This window comes from Homo sapiens, chromosome 6, assembly GCF_000001405.40.
Source record: "Homo sapiens chromosome 6, GRCh38.p14 Primary Assembly".
In the NCBI taxonomy this organism is placed as follows: domain Eukaryota; kingdom Metazoa; phylum Chordata; class Mammalia; order Primates; family Hominidae; genus Homo; species Homo sapiens.
Genome location: NC_000006.12, coordinates 79,307,139 through 79,325,498, shown reverse-complemented (window position 1 = coordinate 79,325,498; position 18,360 = coordinate 79,307,139). Strand labels below are relative to the sequence as shown.

Below are 18,360 nucleotides of genomic sequence, written 5' to 3'. Positions count from 1 at the left end.
TCCCACCCTAATACTCACTTTTCCAACGGGCTTAACAAATGGCACACAAGGAGATTATATCCCGCACCTGGCTCAGAGGGTCCTATGCCCGCAGAGCCTCACTCATTGCTAGCACAGCAGTCTGAGATCAAACTGTAAGGCAGCAGCGAGGCTGGTGGAGGGGCGCCTGCCATTGCTGAGGCTTGAGTAGGTAAACAAAGCCACTGGGAAGCTCAAACTGGGTGGAACCCACCACAGCTCAAGGAGGCCTGCCTGCCTTTGTAGGCTCCACCTCTGGGGGCAGGGCACAGACAAACAAAAGGCAGCAGTAACCGCTGCAGACTTAAATGTCCCTGTCTGACACCTTTGAAGAGAGTAGTGGTTCTCCCAGCATGCAGCTTGAGATCTGAGAACAGGCAGACTGCCTCCTCAATTGGGTCCCTGAACCCCGAGTAGCCTAACAAGGAGGCACCCCCCAGTAGGGGCAGACTGACACCTCACATGGCCGGGTACTCCTCTGAGACAAAACATCCAAAGGAACGATCAGGCAGCAGCATTTGCAGTTCACGAATATCCGCTGTTCTGCAGACACCGCTGCTGATACCCAGGCAAACAGGGTCTGGAGTGCACTTCCAGCAAACTCCAACAGACCTGCAGCTGAGGGTCCACAAACAGAAACGACATCTACACCAAAAACCCATCAGTAAGTCACCATCATCAAAGACCAAAGGTAGATAAAACCACAAAGATGGGGAAAAAACAGAGCAGAAAAACTGGAAACTCTAAAAATCAGAGTGCTTCTCCTCCTCCAAAGGAACGCAGCTCCTCACCAGCAATGGAACAAAGCTGGATGGAGAATGACTTTGACAGGTTAAGAGAAGAAGGCTCCAGAAGATCAAATTATTCCCAGCTAAAGGAGGAAGTTCAAACCAATGGCAAAGAAGTTAAAAACTTTGAAAAAAATTAGATGAATGGCTAACTAGAATAACCAATGCAGAGAACTCCTTAAAGGACCTGATGGAGCTGAAAGCCACGGCATGAGAACTACGTGATGAATGCACAAGCCTCAGTAGCCGATGTGATCAACTGGAAGAAAGGGTACCAGCGATGGAAGACGAAATGAATGAAATGAAGCAAGAAGAGAAGTTTAGAGACAAAATAATAAAAAGAAATGAACAAAGCCTCCAAGAAATATGGGACTATGTAAAAAGACCAAATCTACATCTGATTGGTGTACCTGAAAGTGATGGGGAGAATGGAACCAAGTTGGAAAACATTCTGCAGGATATTATCCAGGAGAACTTCCCCAATCTAGCAAGGCAGGCCAAAATTCAAATTCAGGAAATACAGAGAACGCCACAGAGAGACTCCTCAAGAAGAGCAACTCCAAGACACATAATAGTCAGATTCACCAAAGTTGAAATGAAGGAAAAACAGTTAAGGGCAGCCAGAGAGAAAGGTTGGGTTACCCACAAAGGGAAGCCCATCAGACTAACAGCTGATCTCTTGGCACAAATTCTAAAGCCAGAAGAGAGTGGGGGCCAATATTCAACATTCTTCAAGAAAAGAATTTTCAACCCAGAATTTCATATCCAGCCAAACTAAGCTTCATAAGTGAAGGAGAAATAAAATCCTTTACAGACAAGCAAATGCTGAGAGATTTTGTCACTATGAGACCTGCCCTAAAAGACCTCCTGAAGGAAGCACTAAACATGGAAAGGAACAACCGGTACCAGCCACTGCAAAAACAAGCCAAATTGTAAAGACCATCAAGGCTAGGAAGAAACTGCATCAACTAACGAGCAAAATAACCAGCTAACATCATAATGACAGGATCAAATTCACACATAACAATATTAACCTTAAATGTAAATGGGCTAAATGCTCCAATTAAAAGACACAGGCTGGCAAATTGGATAAAGACTCAAGACCCATCAGTGTGCTGTATTCAGGAGACTCATCTCATGTACAGAGACACACATAGACTCAAAATAAAGGGATGGAGGAAGATCTACCAAGCAAATGGAAAACAAAAAAAAGCAGGGGTTGCAATCCTAGTCTCGGATAAAACAGCCTTTAAACCAACAAAGATCAAAAGAGACAAAGAAGGCCATTACATAATGGTAAAGGGATTAATTCAACAAGAAGAGCTAACTATCCTAAATATATATGCACCCAATACAGGAGCACCCAGATTGATAAAGCAAGTCCTTAGTGACCTACAAAGAGACTTAGACTCCCACACAATAACAATGGGAGATTTTAACATCCCACTGTCAACATTAGACAGATCAATGAGACAGAAAGTTGACAAGGATATCCAGGATTGAACTCAACTCTGCACCAAGCGGACCTAATAGACATCTTCAGAACTCTCCACCCCAAATCAACAGAATGTACATTCTTTTCAGCACCACACCAAACCTATTCCAAAATTGACCACAGTGTTGGAAGTAAAGCAATCCTCAGCAAATGTAAAAGAACAGAAATTATAACAAACTGTCTCTCAGACCACAGTGCAATCAAACTAGAACTCAGCATTAAGAAACTCACTCAAAACCACTCAACTACATGGAAACTGAACAACCTGCTTCTGAATGACTACTGGGTACATAATGAAATGAAGGCAGAAACAAAGATGTTCTTTGAAACCAACGAGAACAAAGACACAATATACCAGAATCTCTGGGACACATTCAAAGCAGTGTGTAGAGGGAAATTTATAGCACTAAATACCCACAAGAGAAAGCAGGAAAGATCCAAAATTGACACCCTAACATCACAATTAAAAGAACTAGAGAAGCAAGAGCAAACACACTCAAAAGCTAGCAGAAGAGAAGAAATAACTAAGATCAGAGTAGAACTGAAGGAAATAGAGACACAAAAAACCCTTCAAAAAGTCAATGAATCCAGGAGCTGGTTTTTTGAAAAGATCAACAAAATTGATAGACCGCTAGCAAGACTAATAAAGAAGAAAAGAGAGAAGAATCAAATAGACGCAATAAAAAATGACAAAGGGGATATCACCACTGATCCCACAGAAATACAAACTGCCATCAGAGAATACTATAAACACCTCTATGCAAATAAACTAGAAAATCTACAAGAAATGGATAAATTCCTTGACACATACACCCTCCCAAGACTAAACCAGAAAGAAGCCGAATCTCTGAATAGACTAATAACAGGCTCTGAAATTGAGGCAATAATTAATAGGTTACCAACCAATAAAAGTCCAGGACCAGATGGATTCACAGCCGAATTCTACCAGAGGTACCAGGAGGAGCTGGTACCATTCCTTCTGAAACTATTCCAATCAATAGAAAAAGAGGGAATCCTCTCCTCCCTAACTCATTTTATGAAGCCAGCATCATCCTTATACCAAAGCCTGGCAGAGACACAACAAAAAAGGAGAATTTTAGACAAATATCCTTGATGAACATTGATGCAAAAATCCTCAATAAAATACTGGCAAACCGAATCCAGCAGCATATCAAAAAGCTTATCCACCATGATCAAGTGGGCTTCATCCCTGGGATGCATGGCTGGTTCAACATACACAAATCAATAAACGTAATCCAGCATATAAACAGAACCAATGACAAAAACCACATGATTATCTCAATAGATGCAGAAAAGGCCTTTGACAAAATTCAACAGCCCTTCATGCTAAAAACTCTCAATAAATTAGGTATTGATGGGTTGTATCTCAAAATAATAAGAGCTCTCTATGACAAACCCACAGCCAATATCATACTGAATGGACAAAAACTGGAAGCATTCCCTTTGAAAACTGGCACAAGACAGGGATGCCCTCTCTCACCACTCCTATTCAACATAGGGTTGGAAGTTCTGGCCAGGGCAATCAGGCAGGAGAAGGAAATAAAGGGCATTCAACTAGGAAAAGAGGAAGTCAAATTATCCCTGTCTGCAGATGACATGACTGTATATTTAGAAAACCCCATCATCTCAGCCCAAAATCTCCTTAAGCTGATAAGCAACTTCAGCAAAGTCTCAGGATACAAAATCAATGTGCAAAAATCACAAGTATTCTTACACACCAATAACACACAAACAGAGAGCCAAATCATGAGTAAACTCTCATTCACAATTGCTTCAAAGAGAATAAAATACTTAGGAATCCAACTTACAAGGGATGTGAGGGACCTCTTCAAGGAGAACTACAAACCACTGCTCAAGGAAATAAAAGAGGATACAAACAAATGGAAGAACATTCCATGCTCATGGGTAGGAAGAATCAATATCGTAAAAATGGCCAGACTGCCCAAGGTAATTTATAGATTCAATGCCATCCCCATCAAGCTAGCAATGACTTTCTTCACAGAATTGGAAAAAACTACTTTAAAGTTCATATGGAACCAAAAAAGAGCCCGCATTGCCAAGTCAATCCTAAGCCAAAAGAACAAAGCTGGAGGCATCACACTACCTGCCTTCAAACTATACTACAAGGCTACAGTAACCAAAACAGCATGGTACTGGTACCAAAACAGAGATATAGACCAATGGGACAGAACAGAGCCCTCAGAAATAATGCCGCATATCTACAACTATCTGATCTTTGACAAACCTGACAAAAACAAGTAATGACAAACCTGACAAAAACAAGCACTATTTAATAAATGGTGCTGGGAAAACTGGCTAGCCATATGTAGAAAGCTGAAACTGGATCCCTTCCTTACACCTTATACAAAAATTAATTCAAGATGGATTAAAGACTTACATGTTAGACCTAAAACCGTAAAAACCCTAGAAGAAAACCTAGGCATTACCATTCAGGACATCGGCATGGGCAAGCACGTCATGTCTAAAACACCAAAAGCAATGGCAACAAAAGCCAAAATTGACAAATGGGATCTAATTAAATGAAAGAGCTTCTGCACAGCAAAAGAAACTAGCATCAGAGTGAAAAGGCAACCTACAGAATGGGAGAAAATTTTTGCAATCTATTCATCTGACAAAGGGCTAATATCCAGAATCTACAAAGAACTCAAACAAATTTACAAGAAACAAACAAACAACCCCATCAAAAAGTGGGCAGACGATGTGAACAGACACTTCTCAAAAGAAGACATTTATGCAGCCAAAAGACACATGAAAAAATGCTCATCATCACTGGCCATCAGAGAAATGCAAATCAAAACCACAATGAAATACCATCTCACACCAGTTAGAATGGCGATCATTAAAAAGTCAGGAAATAACAGGTGCTGGAGAGGATGTGGAGAAATAGGCACACTTTTACACTGTTGGTGGGACTGTAAACTAGTTCAACCATGTGGAAGACAGTGTGGTGATTCCTCAGGGATCTAGAACCAGAAATACCATTTGACCCAGCCATCCCATTACTGGGTATATACCCAAAGGATTATAAATCATGCTGCTATAAAAACATATGCACACATATGTTTATTGCGGCACTATTCACAATAGCAAAGACTTGGAACCAACCCAAATGTCCAACAGTGATAGAGTGGATTAAGAAAATGTGGCACATATACACCATGGAATCCTATGCAGCCATAAAAAAGGATGAGTTCATGTCCTTTGTAGGGACATGGATGAATCTGGAAACCGTCATTCTCAGCAAACTATCGCAAGGACACAAAACCAAACACCGCATATTCTCACTCATAGGTGGGAATTGAACAATGAGAACACGTGGACACAGGAAGGGGAACATCACACACCGGGGACTGTTGTGGGGTGGGGGGAGGGGGGAGGTATAGAATCAGGAGATATACCTGATGCTAAATGACGAGTTAATAGGTGCAGCACACCAACATGGCACATGTATACATATGTAACAAACCTGCATGTTGTGCTCAGGTACCCTAAAACTTAAAGTATAATAATAATAAAATTTAAAAAAAAGAGTTTCAGTATGATGGTGACATTAGGTTTTGGTCTGCAGAAAAATTACCTGGAGAGAAGACAAAATGAGAAAAATGAAGATGTCCCAAGCATGGTTGGGAAGGAGCAAATGAAGCAAAAGTTATTAACCAGTCAAAGAGAATAAGATTTTGAGGGTGCAGGCCAACACTGCACAAGAAGAGGTAAAGAAAGTGCAGACAATAAAAGAAGGGCCAGAACAGCCTGACAGAAGCTTCAGAGAATGTACAGTGAGAAATTTTCAAGTGTGGAATGACAAATGTGACAAGTGGTTTATAGGAACAAGAATGCTTAATATTTAAGCATTCTTCACAATCAGTCCCAAACTTCACAATCAGTCCCAAAACTTCAGTGGAGATCTGCCTCACATAATATGGCAGCAAAAATATACAGGCATATCTGTTTTATTGTACTTCTCTTTAAGTTTTGTTGTAACCCTGAAGCAAGCTAGTCTGTCCACACCATTCTTCCAACAGCATGTGCTCATTTCATGTCTGTGTCACATTTGGTAATTCTCACAATCTTGCTAACTTTATATCTGTTGTGATCTGTGATCAGAGATCTTTGAGGTTATTTTAATTGTTTTGGGGCACCACAAACCATGCCCATGTGACGCTGAACAGCACTTTCCCTGTCTCTTTGCCTCTCCTCAGGCCCTCCTATTCCCTGAAATAAACAATAATTTGAAAATAGGTTAATTAATAACCCTACAATAGCCTCTAAGTGTTTATGCAAAAGGAAGCATCTCACTTCTCTCACCTTAAATCAAAAGTTAGAAATGATTAAGCTTAGTGAGGAGGGCATGTTGACAGCCCAGATAGCCCAAAAGCTAGGCCTCTTGTAACAGTCAGCCAAGTTGTGAATGCAAAGGAAAAGTTAGTGAAGGAAATTAAAAGTGCTATTGCAGTGAATACATGAGTGATAAAGTGAAACCACTTTATTGCCGTAATAGAGACAATTCAAGTGGTCTGGACAGAAGATCAAACCGCTACAACTTTCCTTTAAACCAAAACCTAATCCAGAACAAGTCCCTAACTTTCTTCAATTCTGTGATGGTTAAGAGAGGTGAAAAGGCTGCAGAAGAAAAGTTGTAAGCTAGCGCAGGTTGGTTCATGAGGTTCAAGGAAAGAAGATATTTCCATAACATAAAAGTGCAAGGTGAAGCAGAGAGTGCTGATGGAGAAGCTGCAGCAAGTTATCCAGAAGATCTGGCTAAGATCATTGATGAAGGTGGCTCCACTAAACAACAACAACTTTCAATGTAGATAAAACAGCCTCCTCTTGGAAGAAGACACCATCTAGGACTTTCATAGCTAGAGGAGAAAAGTCAGTGCCTGGCTTCAAAGCTTTGAAGGATAGGCTGACTCTTGTTAAGAGCTAATATAGCTGGTGACTATAAGTGGGAGCCAATTCTTATTTGCTATTCCAAAAATCCTATAGCCCTTAACAATTATGATAAATCTACTTGGCCTGGGTTGTATCAATGGAGCAACAGAGCCTGGATGGCAGCACATCTGTTTACAGCAAGGTTTACTGAATATTTTAAGCTCACTGTTGAGACCTATTGCTCAGAAAATAAGATTCTTTTCAAAATATTACTGCTCGTTGGCAAGACACTTGATCACCCAAAAGTTCTGATGGAGATGTACATGGAGATTAATGTTGTTTTCATGCCTGCTAACACAACATTCATTCTGTACCCCACAGATCAAAGGGTAGTTCTAATTCTCAAGTCTTATTCTTTAAGAAATACATTTTATAAGGCTATAGCTGCCATACATAGTGATTCCTCTGATGAATATGGGCAAAGCACATTGAAAACCTCCTGGAAAGGATTCACCATTCTAAATGCCATTGAGAACATTCGTGGCAGGGTGCAGTGGCTCATGCTTGTAATTCCACTTTGGAAGGCTGAGGTGGGCAGATTGCTTGAGCTCAGGAGTTCAAAACCAGCCTGGGCAACATGGCAAAACCCCATGTCTATTAAAAATTAGGCAGGTGTGGTTGTGCATACCTGTAATCCCAGATACTTGAGGGGCTGAGGTGGTGGGATCACTTGAGCCTGGGAGGCAAAATTTGCAGTGAGCTGAGATCACATCACTGGACTCTAGCCTGAGGGACAGAGTGAGACCCTGTCTCAAAAAAAAAAAAAAAGAGAATATTCGTGATTCATAGGTAGAAGTCAAAATATCAAATTAACAGGAGTTTGGAAGAAGTTGATTCCAACACCCCTCATGGATGATTTTGAGGGGTTCCAGACTCAGTGGAGGTAGCAGCTAGAGATGTGATGGAAATAGCAAAAGAACTAAAATTAGAAGTGAGGCCTGAAGATTTGACTGAATTGCTGTAATCTTGTGATAAAACTTGAATGAATGAGGAGTTGCTTTTTATAGATAACCAAAGAAAGTAGTTTCTTGAGACAAGATCTCCTGGTGAAGATGCTGTGAACATTGTTGAAATAACAACAAAGGACTTAGAATATTACATGAACTTAGTTGATAAAGCAATGGCAGGGTTTGAGAGGATTGATTCCAATTTTGAAAGAAGTGCTATTGTGGGTAAACTGCTATCAAACAGCATTACATGCTAGAGAAATCTTTCATGAAAAGAAGAGTCAAATGATGCAGCAAACTTCACTGTTGTCCTATTTCAAGAAATTGCCACAGCCACCCCAGCCTTTAGCAACCACCATCCTGATCAGTCAGCAGCCATCAACATGGAGGCAAGACCCTCCACCAGCAAAAAGATTACAACTCACTGAAGGAACAGATGATGGTTAGAATTTTTTAGCAATAAAGTATTTTTAAATTAAGGTACATACCTTGCTGTTTTTAGACATAATGCTTATTTCCAAAGTATGCATGTAAAGCAAAAATATGAAAAATGCAAGGAGAACTTGATACAATTAGAGAATTAAACATATGTCTCCCAGAGTTAAATACATCTAGTATACAAATCAGTAAATTCAATTTACTGTATTTCTCCCATTGATTCAAGAAACATTTACAAAATTAATCCTGTATTTGGCCAAAAAGGAAACCTTGACAAATTAAAGTTGCCAAAAATAAAATAAAGAAAAATGTGTGTTTTTAGGGTTATTTTCCTAATCACACTTCAATAAAATGAAGTGTAAATTATAAAAGTTTTAACTTTTGGAAAGTTAATCGATTAATCAAAAAAATAAAAAATAAAATGTGAAATTACCAACTACTGAGAAAGCAATGAAGTGGAACAGCAAAATCTACACTCAAAATGAACTTATTGCTTTAAATGTCTTTGTTATTAAAGGTAAAAGAGAAAAAACGAATCACCAGAAATTGGGAAACGAATGATGAAAGAAACTAAAAAGGATTGGCTTAATATGAATAGAAGCTGAAATTAATAAAGTAGAAAACCAAAACAAGCCAAAATAAAGCAGAAGGGATAAATAAATCCGAAAGCTGTTTTTATTTTTATTTTTTTGAGACCAATAAAGTAGATAAACTCTCTGTGAACCTGATTAAAGAGAGAATGCACATGGCAAGCACAAGAGGTCACTTGCAAACATATGCAAGGTTACAAACGAGAAGGAAACAAAAACATAGATACAGACATGATTCAAAGAATTATAAGAGGTTGCTGCTTGCAATTCCATGGCTACAAATTTGAAAACACAGAGGAAGTGAATGATTTCCTAACAAAATATAAATTACCTTAAATTGACAATCACTGTAGAAGATGTTGGGCTGGTGATTAAGAATCTATCATGAAAAAAGGCACAAAGACCAGATGGGTTTAATTTTTAAAGAACAGATGATTCCAATGTTATTCAAACATTTCCAGGCCATTGGAAGAAAAAGGGAAAAATCCCCTCAATTTAGAAGCCAGATTAATTTTGTTTCCAAAGCCTCACAGGCTATGCTAGACCCATCTCACTTAAAAATGCACATACAAAAAATTTAAATGTTATCAAATGTACCTATGCTTCCGTCTCAGCTTAGGTTCTCTAGATAGACTGCAAGGTAGAGATATTATGCGTGGCCAAGGTTTATTGGGGAGTGCTCTCAGGAACAACACCTGTAAGAAAGTAAGAGGTGGAGGACTAGTTTGGGGAGAGTTAAACTGTGGTACTGCTACAATAGTGGCTAGTATCTATCCTATTCCATGGAGAGCTGTGAACCAGTCATAGGCTGTTCCCTGAGAAGAAACTCAGCCGTGCCATCAGCAATCCTCAACACTTGGGACAGCTGTGGTACTAAGAGTCTCCTGCTGAAGGTGGTATCTGGGCAGCACACCGTAGCATCCATCAGACTTGAATGACAAGAGTTTCAATTTATACCTGATTACCAGTGTGGTTACCAGTGTGGTTTGCTATCAAGAAATTGAGCATTATAATAATTTTTTGTGTCAAACTTTAAAAAAAAATATTAAGACCACATAATAATTAGATGCTGAAAAGGTATCGATGCATTTGTTAATTCATCAGACACTTCTGATACCTCTATAGTTTTATATAGTGCAGTTTAAATGAATATATCATACATTCTGACATGGGCATGTGCAGTCTTCTTTTCCTTTCTCTTTCTTGGCTTTCCTTCTCCCTCTTTACTGATATCAACCCCAGAACAGTAAGCAGAATAAATAACTATAATATACTGGCCCTAAGTAGAAACAGATTTAAATTGTCCCAAATTTGTTTCAGCAAGAAGCAGTCTGCATTACCTGGTCCCCTTTTACACAGGCATGTGTTAGCGAATTTTTAATTTAATTAAACACATCTTTCTCCAGAGCCATTCTCTAGCTCTCCATTGAACACACTACCAATATTCCCTGGAGATAGTTAACTCTGACAGGATATAAATGAAAATAAATAAGTGAAAGCCAAAAAAACATCAAAGTGTGACCATATGTTTAAACAGAAAGCATGCATCTTGGTAGGAGGACGGTAAGTGTAGAAGTAAATCAACACCTGTTTGTCAGGGAATTGAAACAGATCCATTCAGAAGTTCCCAGCTAATCCACCTTTATTAATGGCAAATACTCTCCCAACAAACAACCCCCCTCCCCTGCCCATAATAAGAGATTTAAAATTAAAAATCTAATTTTAAAAGTATAAAATTTTAAATTAAAAAAGTTTAAAATTTTAAAATTAATAAAGGTATAAAGACCAGGCATGGTGGCTCACACCTGTAATCCTAGCACTTTGGGAGGCCGAGGTGGCTGGATCACCTGAGGTCAGGAGTTCAAGACCAGCCTGGTCAATGTGGTAAAACCCCATCTCTACTAAAAATACAAAAACTAGCTGGGTGTGGTGGCGGGCACCTGTAATCCCAGCTACTCAGGAGGCTGAGGCAGGAGAATTGCTTGAACCCGGGAGGCAGAGGTTGAAGTGAGCCAAGATCATGCCATTGAACTTCAGCCTGGGCAACAAGAGTGAAACTGTCTCAAAAAATAAAAATAAATAAAAAATAAAAAAATAAAGGTATAAAATCTTAAGGATGAAAAAAATAGATTCTAGGTCTCTTTCAGACATACCGTCACACGTATCTGAAATTAATATGGACCCCTCCCTTTGCAGATCCTGTCTGGTGACTTTATAGGTAGAGAATCTCAATCATTGGGAGGACTCAATCCTTCTAAGACTGAGAGGCACATCTGTTCTCAGTAATTGCTAGAACTGTGTTTCCTCATCTGTAGGATTCACCAACTCTGGGCACTCACCCACTCTAGGGGCACCTCAGAGGTGTACTCCCTGAAAGAGAGTAATGACTGAAAGAGACTTAATGGCTGAGTAGTTTAGTGTTTGGTTCCCTGAGGCACATTTGCACATGCCCCCAGCCAGGTGGGGAGCTTTGGAACCATCAGTTACAGTTAGGGAGTGGGACTGGTATCAGCTGTTTCCCATGCACCACCCAGAGCCAAAAGAATTTCTGGAGGTTGCTCTCCCCTACATTTAAGTTCTAGGTAAGACTCCAATTTAGAATTTTATTCTTTGTTTGGAGTAATGTTTATTTTCTTGTTGCAGGCAGCACTGCATGGAAATTCAAATATTAATAATAGAAGTTATCTTGATACATATTCATAAGGGGAATGGCTGTGCTTTAGTCAAGAGTAGGCTGGGACTTCCAGCACAGCATGACTTAGCACATTTGGAGCGCAGGTGTACAACCCCCACACATTACGTAACCACGTCATGTGAGGTGTATTAGGTAAGTACTCACATGAGTTCATGCTTGGCTCAGAGCCACTATTGTCTGTAAAAGGTACAACTACCTTGCTGATGCTGTACATATGGCTCACTTGTGCCCAGAGAGAGAATAAAGCCATGTCGAAACTATCTACGATTCCTTGAGTGTTTTTCCAGCTACCTGCCACTTGCCCACCCACTCCCCTCAGATCTCAGTTAGAACATGACAATTGGGCTCATGAACAGGATCCTGAGGTGAGTGACCCTTTGGTCCCCCCTGATTCCGGGTCGGCCATGAGGCTGCAGCGTGGGTTGTGGTACCTGGTAGCAGCTGTGCTGTTTGGATGGGCTTTGGTGGAAACCTGGGTGGCGATAGATGGGTCCCCTGCAAGCATGGAGAAGGCTCTGAAGCTGCTGGAAGCACAGAGCACTGAGAAGGAGTGAGCTTTTGCTGGTAGAGTTGGATGGGCATTTTGACTGTGCTATGAGAAGCACACACCCAGTCCCTGAGGGATGCAGTGCAGGTAAGCGCCCTTCAGGCAGAGGTGGGGCACCTGGAAACCCAGCTACAGAGCTTGGAAAAGGAATTAGAGGCTGCTGTGAATGTAGGCATGGGTCCATTGTCTCAGCCAGAGATCCCCACTTGGTCTGATACAGAGAAAGAAGAACTCTTGTTGTGGGCTCACCCAGTGGTCCACCAGAAGGTAGATCATGAACAGCTGTTGGGGCCCCAAGAGAAGGCTCAGGGACCCCCCCCCACCCACCGTAATGCAACATACTTCATATACTGCCTATACCCCAACTGAGTTGTGGGAATTAGGCAAGCAGTGCCGCCAGCATCCAGGGGAATGTCTACCTGCCTGGATGCTTCATTTGTGAGACAAGAGAGCAGATAGTATCTCCTGTTCTGCCTCTGAGATGGAAAAGCTGGCCTCTATCACGACTCACCCCTCCCTCTGTCAGTGGTTGCAGGTGAACAAGCAGTTGGCACAAGGGCAAAGTGATCACATCCTGATTGAGTGGCTATGGACAGCCATACAGACTGTGTGGAACAACGCTGGTGAAATACCCAAACCGTGAGTAAATACCAGTCTATGTGATTTGGTGCAAGTCATTCGGGAGACGGGTATGCGGCAGGCTATGTTTGACCTGAATACCCAGGGACCAGGAGATGAATGCTTCAGCTACCACATGGGAGAATCTTGTGTTGGGTTCTGCACCCCTGAGTGCCTTTGACTCCCTAGCTACTGTCCTCAACCTGTACATAGGGTACCACATACATGAAGTGACCACTGCTATGGTGACTCTCAGGGAAGCAGAAGGCCATCGGCAGGACCGAGGGGTCCATGCTGTAAAGAAGGGGAAGATGCCCCACCCACAGGGGGTCCCCCCATGGTAAAAAGGGGGCGCCAACGAGTGACACACTCACAGACATGTATAGATTTTATTTTGGCCGGGTTGACTGAGAGAAAATTGATAAGCAACCCAATGAAGTGCTTTTAACTTTGTGGAGACAGTTGTCTCTGGAGGAGCAATTCCAGAAAATGCCCAAGGGGGAGAAGGACATTGCTGTGTAACCTGGTCCCACCCAGGCGCTTCAGTTCAAAGATGACTTGCTGCAGCCAAGTGGAAATGTAGAGCCTTTTTTGCTTGATTAGGGAACTGGCCAAGGTGCCCAGCTTGCGGGGACACTAAATGACTGGAGGCCACATGTGGAATTAGTGATCCACCAGTCCCCCACCGATGTACAGCGGGTGCTGGTGGATACTGGCACAGATTGCAGCCTTGTTTATGGGAACCCGGATAAGTTTCTTGGCAAACCTGCTTACATTGACAGTTATGGCAGCTGGTCAGTGAAAGTGAAACCTGTATCTCTATACCTTGGCATCACCGTTTGGCTCCCTGCTTATGCGCTGTGTATGTCTCTCCTGAATACATTCTGGGGGTGAGTGTTTCACAAGGTTTGGCAGCTGTCTCATCTATCATGGATTTGATAGACTGCTCGATGATGGAATTGGAACAATACCACTATGTGGTAGACTTGGCTAATGCATTCTTTTCCAGAGAGCCAGGAATACTTTACCTTTATGGGACAGCGACAATGGATTTTCACAGTGTTGCCACAGGGCTATATGCACAGCTGCACCATATGTCATAATCTCATTGATGATATTATGTTAACCTCTGATTCTCTTGCAGATTTAGAAGCAGTAATGCCTCTCTTGCCTGGGACTGGGATGGTGTGGCTGAGACTGCCTTACTGGCAGCCAGGTGCGCTATTCAGCAGCCACAAGCCCTACAAGTAATTAACCAGGGGCACCTGTTTGAGCTGGAGGTGCATGTGGCCACAGACGGTTTTGGTTGAGGCTTGTGGCAATGCACAGAGCGCCTAAGAATGCCAGTAGGCTTTTGGTCCCAACTATGGAAAGGAGCTGAACTCCGGTATTCATTGATAGAGAAACAGCTAGCAGCTGTATATGCTGGCCTTCGGGCTCATGAGAGCATGACAGGACAGGCTGCAGTCATCATATGGACAACTTACCCAATAACAGGATGGATGCGTCTATGTGTAATGACCACCTGGAGTGGGATAGCACAGATGTCCACTTTGGCAAAATGGGGCAACTCCTTGCAGCAGTGGAGTAAGCTGAGTACAAGTCCCATAGCAGCAGAGTTGCAAGAGGTCTTGGGACGTGTAGTCCTAATGCAAGATAAGGCCATGCGGCCTGAGGCACCCCTAGATCCTGAGTCTTCACCATTTAAGGAAGGGCATCCCAGGATTCCTGAGGGGGCATGGTACACAGTAGATGAGGTGCTACTGCTGCCTGGACCACTGTTGCAGTCCAACCTAGTACTGACACCATATGGTTTGAAACTGGGTGCGGACAAAGTAGCCAATGGGCTGAACTCAGAGCAGTGTGGATGGTGATCACCAAGGAGGTGACACCTGTGGTAATCTGTACTGATAGCTGGGCAGTCTACTGAGGCTTAACCTTGTGGTTAACTACTTGGAAAATACAGAATTGGCTAGTGAGCCACAGACCCATTTGAGGCCAAGCCATATGGCAAGACCTTTGGGAAATAGGTCATCAAAAAGAGGTAACTATTTATCATGTGTCAGGCCATATGCCTTTGGCCACCCCTAGTAATGATGAGGCAGATGCCTTGGCTAAGGTCAGATGGTCAGAGTCAGCACCAACACAAGATGTGACCTTGTGGCTACACCGGAAACTGGGACATGCAGGGGGTAAACTGATGCAACAATTCAATAAGTGTTGGGGTCTGTCCCTTCCCAAGCAAGACATTTGTGAGGCTTGTCAGAAATGCCTGGCATGTGTTCAGACATATCCTAAAAAGAGGCAGCTGCCCGGTGTTATACAACAAGTAACAATAGGGTGAGTGCCCTTGACCAGGTGGGAAGTAGACTACATCGGGCCGCTGCCAAAGTCGCGAGGGTATACGCATGCACTAACGGCTGTAGACATGGCCACAGGCCTGTTGTTCACCTACCCTTGCAGGGTGGCCAACCAACAGAACACCATCCAGGCCCTGCAACACTTATGTTCCCTGTATGGTTGTCCTCTGGCCATTGAGAGTGATAGGGGAACACATTTCACTGGACAACAGGTACAATGATGGGCACAGCAAATGGACATAAAGTGGGGATTCCATGTGCCATACAGCCCACAAGCTGAGGTATTATTGAATGATATAATGGGATCTTGAAGAATGGATTACGCTTGCATGTCAAACCCCTGTCTTTGCGGAGCTGGAGTTCCAGGCTGGACCTGGTGCTCCAAACCTTAAATGAATGGCCACAGAAAGGTGGCCCGGCCCCAGTGGAGGCTTTGTTTCACTAGGCCACCACCCCCATTCAATTGGAGATACATACCAAGGATGACCTCCTCCGATCAGGTATGGGGACAAATGGTAACCTGTTGTTGCCTGCCCCAACAACCCTGAAGGCAGGGGAACAGAAAACCTGGCTGTGGCCATGGACCCTCCAAGCTCTCCACTGCTGGTGGTTGGCCATCATAGCTCCCTGTGGGGAGGGCCTACAGTATGACTTGCATGTCACTTTTTGAGTGTTCAATACATGGCTTCCAAGGTTGACTGTTTGTAGAGGAACAGCCAGGGAAGGAGCCCTCCTCTGAGGGACATATGTACTATCTGATGGGCCTATTATGAGCTACGCTGTGACTTTGGCATGGATACAGGATTCAAAGGAACCATGGAGATTTGAGAAGGTGTGGTACCATCACCCAGGGCAAAAGCCCTTGGTGGCTGCATTGTTATCCAGGGATGGAAAGTTAGCCTATATTTTGCCTGAGGGATGTGATTTACCTCTGTTAGTACCTGTGCCTGCTCTGTCATTTCAACCGTAGGTTAACATGCTCCAATTGCATTGTGGACTGACCCCACACCTATGCTGAGGTGACCAATGTTTCCAACTGTTGGACCTGCACTGCCTTTCCAGCAGCAGCTGCAGACAGCTTTCCCTGACACATACATCCCGTGTCTGCAGAGAACTGGACATGCCTGGAGACTTGAGATCCCATGGCTGATGCCTGGAACACAATGTGGCAAGCTTTGGACAAAGGACACAGCAAGACCCATGGCTGGACCGTAGCATTCGTGATGAGTGGGGCTGGCTAGTAGGGGAACATGTAGTAGCCCAAGCCCAGGCATTGCAGTGCACAGAGCAACATTGGGGTAACAGGATGGGTACCTGTCACGGCCTGTGCAAACATAACATGTGTCACCACACTGAAGGTATGGTGGAACAAGTGGCCTCACCAAGGTCGGACCCCAATGGACTTTTTGCCTCTTGGGAGCTTATGGGTCTATGAGGACACAGTAGCCTTTCCTATCAGCAAACTGGAGTGGATGTTGTATCTGGGGGTGGCCTTATGTACCTGCTACTGTTCTCCCCACATTGCCCAGATGCCTGTATAACTGGGAGGCACTGTGCTCTCAGTTTTTGCGAATGTGATGAGCCCCCTGGTGTTTCTACCCTTTGGCAATGACTATCCCTGGAGCAGGTGTCAAAACTGTAGAAGCACAATTTACTGCTCTTGCGGAGCACACCGCTCAGGCTCTGAATTACACCTGAGTGTCCCTCCTCCTGTTAATGAATGAGGTTGATCAGATCAAAAAGTGGTGTTGCAAAACCAAGTGGCCTTAGACATAACTGCTGCCCAAGGAGCCACCTGTGCCCTTTTAGGAACACAATGTTGTACCTTATCCCTGACAATCAGCAGAACATAACAGCAGCCCTGCAAAGGGGTCTTCCAGGAGATTAAGGTGACTGAGAGCCTCACTGTCAACCCCCTGCAGAGATGGTGAGCATCCCTAGGTTCTGGCGTACATTGGGCCCTAATAGTCATAAGTATCATAGCTGAGATCCTAGTAGTGAGCTGTTGCTCTCTGTATTGTTGTTGTGGGTTATGGACTCAGGGCTCCGCCATATAGGCATGTGTCCCTGCCTGGAGGACGCCCTCAGCCTAGGGGGTGTAGTGTAAGGGAAATGGCTGTGCTTTAGTCAGGAGTAGGCTGAGGCAGCCTTCTGGTGCAGCATGACTCAGTGGGTTTGGAGTGCAAGCACACAACCTTGCTCGTTATGTAACCACACCACATGAGGCACATTAGGTAACAACTCACATGAGCTCGTGTTTGGCTCAGAGCCACTATTGTCTGTAAAAGGTATACCTTGCTGATGCTGCACATATGGCTCGCTTGTGCCCAGAGAGAGAGTAAAGCCATGTTGAAACTGTCTACAATTCTTTGAGTGTTTTTTCAGCTACCAACCACTTGCCCACCGACTCCCCTCGTACCTCAGTTGGAACCTGAGTGTTGAATCAGAACAAGGGACCAATTAAATTTCAAGTTTAATGACTACAAGCTAAGTCATCCTGATATACTGTTCTCAAAACAGACATAAGATGCTCAATGTGATCTGAGTAGTTCAGGCCTGACAACTAAGATTCCTTTTCCTCTGGATGGCAACTGAATGAGCACCACTCAGATTTTCTTCTGTAATTTTCCTTTTTCAGTGCTTTCTATTCTGACTAATCCTCCTTTAATTAATCCATATATATATATCAAGCTAAATTAATGTCTGAGCTGAATGTGGTGGCTCACATTTGTAATCCCAGCACTTTGGAAGGCCAAGGCAGGAGGATTGTTTGAGGCCAGGAGTTTGAGACCAGCCTGGCCAACATGGTGAAACCCCATCTCTACTAAAAATGCAAAAATTAGCCAGGCATGGTGGCACATGCCTGTAGTCCTAACTACTCAGGATGCTG

General features: G+C 43.1%; 1 long non-coding RNA gene across 1 annotated transcript, besides 1 other annotated feature; it reads left to right on the top strand.

Moving 5' to 3' along the window:
• Window positions 11,580-12,779: an enhancer, noted in NCBI's record as "MED14-independent group 3 enhancer chr6:80022437-80023636 (GRCh37/hg19 assembly coordinates)". NCBI's record gives its function as "activates an origin of replication core promoter dependent on BRD2, BRD4, P300/CBP and CDK7 cofactors, and independent of MED14, by STARR-seq in HCT116 cells {active_cell/tissue: HCT116}" and the evidence as "EXISTENCE:reporter gene assay evidence [ECO:0000049][PMID:35650434]".
• On the top strand, window positions 12,115-17,830 carry LCAL1 (lung cancer associated lncRNA 1). Its single transcript, NR_130915.1, has 3 exons — window positions 12,115-12,310; window positions 13,019-13,131; window positions 14,255-17,830. It is a non-coding gene; the product is annotated as a lung cancer associated lncRNA 1 (long non-coding RNA).
• The last annotated feature ends 530 nt before the right edge of the window (window positions 17,831-18,360 follow it).